Below are 9208 nucleotides of genomic sequence, written 5' to 3' on the forward strand. Positions count from 1 at the left end.
AATGCTGTTTGAAAGTGTCCAGAATGCTTGCCTCTGAGGCTCAGTGCCCTCCCATCTGTAAGATGGGAATGCTAATGCTTATCTCAGAATGTTTTGGGGAACATTAAATGAGATAATGCATGCAAAGTGCTAGAAACAATGTTGGCCACAGGAAGTACTCAATAAACAATGGTTACTAATAGTATTATTATTAGGCGGAACCAGATAAAAATGCCATTTTTGTAAGTCAGAAGTGATCACATATCAGCAATTTCATCTGGTCCAACCTGATATTGATGGGTGTGATGACCCCTGCATTGGGCTGGGGCTATGGTGTGGCGTTGAGAGCTCAGGCTCCGGAGTCATACTGCTTGGCCCCAGTCCCAGTTCCACAACTCACTCTCTTGGGTGACCTTGAGCTAGTCATTCACCCTGTTTATACACCTATTTTCTCCTCTGTAAAACAGGAATATGGATGTGTTGTTGTGTGGATCACATAGGTGAAGCACTTAGAAGGATACCTGGCACAGAGCTGGTGCCAAGTGAATGTTTGCTAAATGGATAAATGTGGTCAGCTGGGAGGGGATGATTCTTATTCCATTTACAAGGGAGGAGATAAGGAATTTGCCCAGGTCACACACCTGGGGATGGTATAGCCCTGAGACCAGTGAGTGCTTTTGCTGTTGCTCTGCCTACTTGTACCCTGCAGCCTCCTGCCCTGTCCAGCCCAGTCTATATCTCCATTCTGATGATGGTCCAGCTGTCTTTCCAGCCAGCTGGTCAGCTAGTCAGACCTACTTGACTCACCTATCAGTTCTCCCATGTACGTACGCATCTCCTTTCCTTCCTCCATGTTTCATAAAACTAACTTCTGTTGGATGTTTGAACTTGGTTGAGATGATCTAGAAACCTAGAAATATCTCTTAAAAGTCAAATTTGGCCAGGCGCGGTGGCTCACCCCTGTAATCCCAGCACTTTGGGAGGCCAAGTCGGGTGGATCACGAGGTCAGGAGATCGAGACCATCCTGGCTAACATGGTGAAACCCCGTCTATACTAAAAATACAAAAAAATTAGCTGGGCGTGGTGGCGCATGCCTGTAGTCCCAGCTACTCGGGAGGCTGAGGCAGGAGAATGGTGTGAACCCAGGAGGCAGAGCTTGCAGTGAGCCGAGATTGCACCACTGCACTCCAACCTGGGCGACAGAGCAAGACTCCGTCTCAAAAAAATAAAAAATAAAAAATAAAAGTCAGGTTTATTGGCTTAGTTCTCCCAAGGGATACAGTTGGGTGAATTGTGTCTGTCTCATACATATATGTATCGATGTAGCCACCACTATAGACAAGAGGCAGAACATTTCCAGCAACCCCCCAAATTCCCTTGAGCCCCTTTGTAGTCACTCACTTCCCTTATCCCCAGACCCTCAGTAGCTACTGATCTGTTTTTTTCCTTACAGTTTTTCCTTCCCCAGAATGTAGTATAAATTAAATAAAAACAATATGTAGCCTCTTGAATCCGGCTTCTTTCACTGGGGTTAATGCATTGGAGATTCACCCTTGGGGATTACATGTAACAGCCGCAGGTTTATTTTTTATTGCTAAATAGTATCCCATCTTATGGATGTACCATCGTTTATCCATTCACTCATTGAAGGACACCTGAATTGTTTCCATTTTTTGGCAATTATGAGCAAAGCTGCTATAAACATTTGTGTAGAGATGTTTTTGAGTGAACATGTTTTCATTTTTCCTGAGTAAATATACATAGGAGTGAGATTGCTGGTTCATAAGGAAAATGATGTTTAAATTTATAAGAAAGTCCCAAACTGTTTTCCAAACTATACCATTTTGCATTCCATCAGTAATGCATGAGAATTCCAATTGCTCTGTATCCTTGTCAGCACTTGGTACTGCTTATTTTAAAAAACTTTTCAGCCATTCCAATGGGTGTGTGACGGTATTTCCTTGTGGTTTTAGTTTACATTTCCCTAGTGACTAATAATGTTGAACATCTTTTTATATGTTGTTGTTGTTGTTGTTGTTTTTGGCATCTATATATTATTCGGAGAAGTGTCTGTTCAAAACTGTTACCCATTTTTAAGTTGTTTTCTTTTTTTATTACTGAGTTTTAAGAATTCTTTACATATTCTTTATCAGATGTCTGCTTTGCAAATATTTTTCTCTCCATCTATGGTTTCCCTCTTCATTCTTAGCAGTGTCTTTCAAATTTTATTGAAGTTCAGTTATGAATTTTTTCTTTTATGGATCATATTTTTAGTTTCATGTCTATGAAAGCTTTTCCTAGTCCAAAGCTCCCCCACCCTTCTTATTCTCTAAAAGTTTTATGAGGCCTATGATCTATTTTGTGTTAATTTTTTTTTCTGGACAGTGTTTCACTCTTGTTGCCCACACTGGAGTGCAATGGCACCATCTTGGCTCACCGCAACTTCCACCTTGTGGGTTCAAGCGATTCTCCTGCTTCAGCCTCCTGAGTAGCTGAGATTACAGGCATGTGCTACCACACCCGGCTGATTTTGTATTTTTAGTAGAGACGGCATTTCTCCATGTTGGTCAGGCTGGTCTCGAACTCCTGACCTCAGGTGATCCGCCTGCTTCGGCCTCCCAAAGTGCTAGGATGACAGGCATGAGCCACCACGCCTGGCCATTTTGTGTTAATTTTTATGTATGGTACATGGTGTGGATCAATTTTATTTTTAAACTTTCTTTTCTATTTTTTGCATATTTATGTACAATTATTCCAGAACTATTGTTTAAACGACTGTTCTTTTGTCATTGAATTGCCTTCTCACCTTTGTCAAAAATCAATTAACCATGTATATAGGAGTCTATTGCTGGACACTGTTCTATTCTATTGATCTCTCTTTTTGCCAACACCACATCTTGATTACTCTTGCTTTATAGTAAGTCTTAACGTCAGGTAGTGTGATTTCTCTGACTTTGTTCTTCTTTTTCAAAGTTGTTTTGGCTATTATAATTTCTTTGTTTTTCCATACAAAGTTTAGGATCTGCTTGTTGATTTCTACAAAATTTTCTTCTGGGATTTTGATAGGCATTGAACTGAATCAATAGATCAGTTTGGGGAGAACTGACATCTTAACAGTATTCTTCCAATCCATGTACACAATATGTCTTTCAACTTCTTTCAGTTATATTTGAATTCTTTAATCAGTTTTGGTAGTTTTTTACGTATATATTTTGCTAGATTTATAATAACATTTTAAGTTTTTTGGTGTTATTATAAGTAATACCTTTAAGTTTCTAATTTCCAGTTGTTCATTGCTTGTATCTAGAACAAGAATTGATTTTTATATGTGACTTTGTATAAGTACCACATGCTAACTGATTGTGCCATTTAATTTTTGTATATGACTTTGTATACTATGACCTTGCTAATCTTATCTGTTTTAATAGCTTTTGTAAAGATTATTTGTAGACAATCTACAATTTGCATGATTTTCTATGTAGACCACCATGTCATCCACAAATAGAGACAGATATATTTCTTCATTTCTATCTGTGTGCTTTTTATTTCTTTTTCTTGCCTAATTGCATTGGCTAGGATCTCCAATACAATGTTGAATAGAAATCATTTCTTGATTCCTTTTTCTTTTGCCCCCAACTCCATCCAACCTATCAACCTTTGTGATTAAACCTACAAAATATATCAAGAATATGAGCACTTCTTACCATTTTGTCTGTCACAGCTTTCTTGCCTGGATACAACCACCACCTCCTCAATGGTGTCCCTGATTCTGCTTTTGTCCCCTGTGGCCCCTCCTCCACAGAGCAGCTGAAGTCATCTTTCTATTTAAATTAGAACAAAATCCAAACATCTAACCACAGTCTAGGGGGTTCTATAAGAAGTGGCCCCTGCTCTCCTCTCTGACCTCATTCCCCTCACTTGCTGCACCTCAGCCATAGTAGTCTTCCTGCTGTTTCTCAAACATGCTGAAGTTCAGCATTCCCACCTTGGGGCCTTTACACTTGCATTTCCTCTGTCTAACTGTCTGCTTCCTTTGTCTTGTTCCAGTTTTACCTCACATGTCACCCTGTCATGGAGGCCTTCCCTGACCCTCTGAGCTAATGCAGACCTGCCAGTTACCCTCTAACTTGTTATTCCTATTTTATATTCTTCACAGCACTTCCTGGTGCCTAAAATTATCTTTTTTACTTATGTATTTATTTTCTATCTCTCCCCACGAGTAGTCAGGGATTCTATCTATGTTGTGTACTAGATTAATGTGTAGTATATGGTAGTTTCTCATTAAGTGTTTGCTAACCAACTTCTTCCTGCCCTATGATCGTATGAGTCTGAGTGAGATACTCTTCCCAAAGTATCCCTCAACAACCAGACGAGCTTCTTGAAAGAGTCCTTGTTTCATACCTGTTTGTTTGCTTATTTATGTATTTATTTAGAGATACAGTCTCGCTCTGTCACCCAGGCTTGAGTGCAGTGGTGCAGTCTCAGCTCGTTGCAACTGCCCGCCTCCTGAGCTCAAGCAGTCCCCATACCTCAGCCTCCTGAATAGCTGGGACTACAGGTGCATGCCATCATGTCTGGCTAATTTTTGTATTTTTGTAGACACAAGGTTTCACCATGTTGCCCAAGTTGGTCTCAAACTCCTGGGCTCAAGCAATCTGCCCACCTCAGCCTCCCAAAGTGCTGGGATTACAGGTGTGAGCCACCATGCCCAGCCTTGTTTCATACCTGTTGAGTCTACCTCTTGAATTCCCAGGAACTCCCTACCTGACTACAATTTGCCTTTGGCTGCCATCACTTTTCTTTGGTAAAGGCAATCAATGTTCTCCTTATGACAAGCCCGGTTTTATACTACTGGAGATAGCAATTGCTTTTGCTGCAATTGACTCCTTCTGTCATAAACTTGTTTCCCCCTTGGCTTCTGGACATCGCATATTACTAGTTCTTCTATCTGTCTGACTGTTCCTTTTTACTGTCATTGGTAGACTATTGTTTCTTTTTCCTATCCATAAATGTTAGTGCTCCCTAGAGTTATAGCATGGGCTCACTACCTGCTCATCTAACCTCTTGGCTTCCTGCAAAGCCCTTGATTCAACAACTATTTATGGGGCTCCCAGGAGATGCCAGACATTGAATTGGGTACTGGGAAAATATTGATGAGAAAGACAAGCACGGTACTTGTCCTCTTGGAGCTCACAGATTAGTAAACATCATGAGGCCGGAGACTTTGTTTTGTTCATTGCTGCTTCCTCAGCAACTAAAATAATGGTAAACATGCAACACATATGTGTTAAGTCAGTGCATAAATGGTATAAAGAGACAATAAGCAAGAACTATACAAATATATATAATTATGATAATAAGTGCTATACTGGGGAAGTACCAGGTAGTACTAGGAGTGTGTAAGTCCAGAAAACCTAGTCTAGTTGGGGTTGGGAGACTTGGGAGACCTCAGTACAGAGACATATAGGCTTAGCCATGAGGATGGGAGGAGTTGGTAAGTCCAGCGCGACTGCTGGCAGATTAGAAGATCTGGTGGCGAGATGTGGAGGACATTCCCAATCTGATGCTTTCTGTCTCTTTGTGAACTATAAGAAAAGTTTATCTGCTGAGAGTGAGGGGGTGAAGGGGACATTAGAGGTTTGAAAACAGAGGCAAATGTATAGAGTGTGGGACGTGTAGGGTGAGTTCAAATGTAGTAGATTTTCTTTTGGAGGTAGGTGATCATTGATTCATGATGGCTTCAGGTTGCCCAGTGGTGTGATTTCTTCAACACATTCAGCCTCTTGGGTCAAGCTGCTGAGAAGACGGATAGTTGGTTTTATTCAAAGCTGGGCTCTTATGATGTCAGTAATGGCCAGAGGGATGGGCAAGAGAGTTGGGGACATTTGAACGGAGGGACTATAATGACAAACTCTGAAATCTAAGCCAGATAAGGAGGAAAATTAAGTCATGGGGGAGAGTGACAGGCAAAAAAAAAAAAAAAAAAAAAAACTTGCTTTGGCTGGGGACAGCTCAGTTACAAATACTCACTTCCCTATATGCCCTTTCACTCAGAGTGGCCATTAGGAACAGTTCTGGCCAATGAGATGTCAGCAGAAGTTGCTGAGTGAGACTTCTATGAAGGCTGTTGAAAGTGGAAAAACTCATCTGGGATGTGCCTTCTTCTCTTTGTCCTTCTTTATCGCTAGAATGAGATGAAGGGGCTAGAGTGGAGCCTTCCATCTTGAGATCATGCATGTATCTGGTAACCCTTGCCGTAATAACGCTGCCAAACAAACTACCCCCCAAACGCAGCTTCCCATGAATCTCCTGGTTGCCTGTGATTCGGCTGCTCTAGGCCAGGCTGGGTTGTTCAGCTTTGCTTCAGGCTGTGGCAGCTGGGGAGGTGCTGCTCCAGGCATCTCTCATCCTCCTTCTGGGGCATGTTCTTCTCATGGGCAATGGAGGAAGCCCAAGAGAACAAGTGGAAATGCAGAGTCTCTTAAGGCCTAAGCCTAGAACTGGTACACAGTCATTTTCTGCCTCATCTTGTTGGTCAAAGCATGGCGAAACCCAAAGCCAGGAGGTGGAGACATTTATTTGTCTCCTTTAGTGGGAAGAACTGCAAAGTCAAATGATAACAGATGGGCAGCAGGGAGGGGTCAAGCACTGGGGTTGGTAATGCAAGGGACTACAAGAAGCACGAAAGCCACCCTCAAAACACAGCAGACCAGGAAGCCAGCGGAGTTTGATGACTTCCTTAAGCTGCTGTCGTCTGTCTATATCTTGTTAGGGGAGGAAAAATAGGTTCCTTTTTGGTTAAGCTGACTTAGTTGGATTTCCAGTAAAAGACAATTTCAAAGCTACACAGGGAGTTTAAGGATAGAAAGTGTAGGCTGAGTGTGGTGGCTCATGCCTGTAATCCTAGCACTTTGGGAGGCCAAGGCAGGTGGATTGCTTGAGCTCAGGAGTTTGAGACCAGCCTGGGCAACATGGTGAAACTCCATCTCTACTAAAAATACAAAAAATTAGCCAGGTGTGGTGGCACGAGCTTGTAATCCCAGCTACTGGGGAGGCTGAGGCACAAGAATCACTTGAACCCAGGAAGTGGAGGCTGCAGTGAGCAGAGATCACTCCACTGTACTCCAGCCTGGGTGACAGAGCAAGACTCTGTCTCCAAAAAAAAAAAAAAAAAAAAAAGGGGGGGGTATAGAAAGTGTAAGGACCAATGACTTGGAGTCTTAGGAACTTGTAGAAAGAAACTAGAATAATAGATTTTGATTGGAGAGTGGGTATTTTTAATTGATTATTTCAGAGGTGGGGAAGTTTCTGGGGGTGACAAGGTACGAAAAATGTAGAGGAGAGGAAAGGGGAGATGGAGAGGCCAAGAACTAAAAAGCCAGGGTGTGGAAGGCTTCCCCATCTGGAAGTCAGGACATCAAGAAGGAGTTGGGGTAGTTGGCCACTCTAAGTGAAAGGGCATGTAAGGAAGTCAATATTTTTAACTGAGCTGCCCCAAGCCGAACTGGGCTGCAGGATCTTAAGCCTTCAGTGAGTGAGGAAGAGTGGTCAGTAGAGAATTGGAACAAGAGAGGGCCGTATAACCAGATGGCAAGGGTCGCACAGGAGCTCTGGGTTTTATAAGAAGATGGGAGTAGAAATGAGGATGCTCAAATTCCTATTTCTAGTTCAGGCTGCTCCGTAAGATTTAGACTCATACAACAACCCTCCAGCCTTTTTCATTTGCTGACTCCAAGTCAACAGATTCAAGACCGGGGTCACCATATTCCTCTGCAAACCCAATTCTCCTCCTGGTCACCTCTCTCAGTGAGTGACCTGCCACCACTCACCCAATCCAGAATCCTGTGGATTGTCCCAGAGTCTTCCTTCTCCCTCATCCTATCATTAAATCTTACTAGTCTCATATCACAGATCTGTTTCAATCCACCCCCTCTCCTCCTTCATATCCAATTCAGGCCTCCACCGTCTCCCGTCCATCCCTGTGCCTCATCCTCCTAGCTGCACACTCTGCCTCCAGTGTCTCCCCATGAAATCCATTATCTAACACCTCAGGGAACCACACCAGTGTTGGCTGAATCTGAAATCACAGTCTGCACAAGAAGCCAATCATGAAATACCTGCTTTGTCTCTCAGATGCATGAATATGAAAATGGATTTCTGAAGCTGGCAGGGTGGGGGAGCTGGCCCAGGGGATAAGAATCAGGCTGCCCCAAGAGAAGAGGTGGAGGTTCCCCAAGGGGAGCCCAGCTGCAAAGTGGGGTCCTCTTATCCACATCAACGGGATGGGCTTGGTTGTTGTGGGGACCAAAACATCCTTGCATCGCTCTCTGCCTCTGAGGTCCCTCAGGTGCCTGAGTGTGGGACAGCGAGCGGTTGTGGATGTCGAGCAGAGAGGCCTGGGGGGAGGGAAGGCCAGATGGCAAGATGGGGGCGGTGAGAACACCAAGGAGGGGTTGGCAGCAGCTGGGAAGATCAATGCCTTTCCCCTCTCCGTGTTTGCCTGTGTTGCTATCCCTGCTCAGATGAAAGAAATTCAAATGGTTATTGATTCTCGCTGAGGGGAGAATGTGGGGATCGGGTCTGGCTCCGTTACAGCTGCCCCAGCACCAGCCCGGCTAGTCCCAGTCCCAGCCTCAGTTGGAATTGAAGCCTCGCCACCCTGGATCCTGCCTCCACCTTAGTCCCAGCCCCAGCCCAGCACCTACCCTAGCCTTTAACTTGGGGCAGCAATGCACACAGTTAAAAATACTCACTTCCCTACAACTGCCTTCATTTGTAGGGCCAAGGAGATATAAACAGAAGTTGCTGAGATATAAGCCCAGACCCCCACCTCAATCCCAGGGGACGAGGAAAGGCAGACCAGAGGTCGGAAAACTATGGGGCGTCAGGTCCAATTCCAGCCTGCAGCCCGGGCCCTTGAGCTAAAAATGATTTTTACATTTTTCAAAGGGTTGTAAAGAAAAACAAGAGTATGGAACAGAGAACATACAGGACTAAAAACGCCTAAAATATTTCCTACCTGGGCTTTTACCGCCAAAGTTTGCCAAGCTCTGGTTGAGACTGTTTTCCTGCTTGTGACTTTGCAGGTGAATTTCCCCCAAGTCTAAGCATTAAGAGCTAAAAGCCCAGGGTGGCCTCCCACAGGTCTCAGCCAGAGTCTATAATCTCAGCCCCCTGAGGGGCAGGGAAGGGAGCCCATCTTCTCAGTGAGAGCCAAGGCTGCTTTGC

This window comes from Homo sapiens, chromosome 1, assembly GCF_000001405.40.
Source record: "Homo sapiens chromosome 1, GRCh38.p14 Primary Assembly".
NCBI lineage: Eukaryota > Metazoa > Chordata > Mammalia > Primates > Hominidae > Homo > Homo sapiens.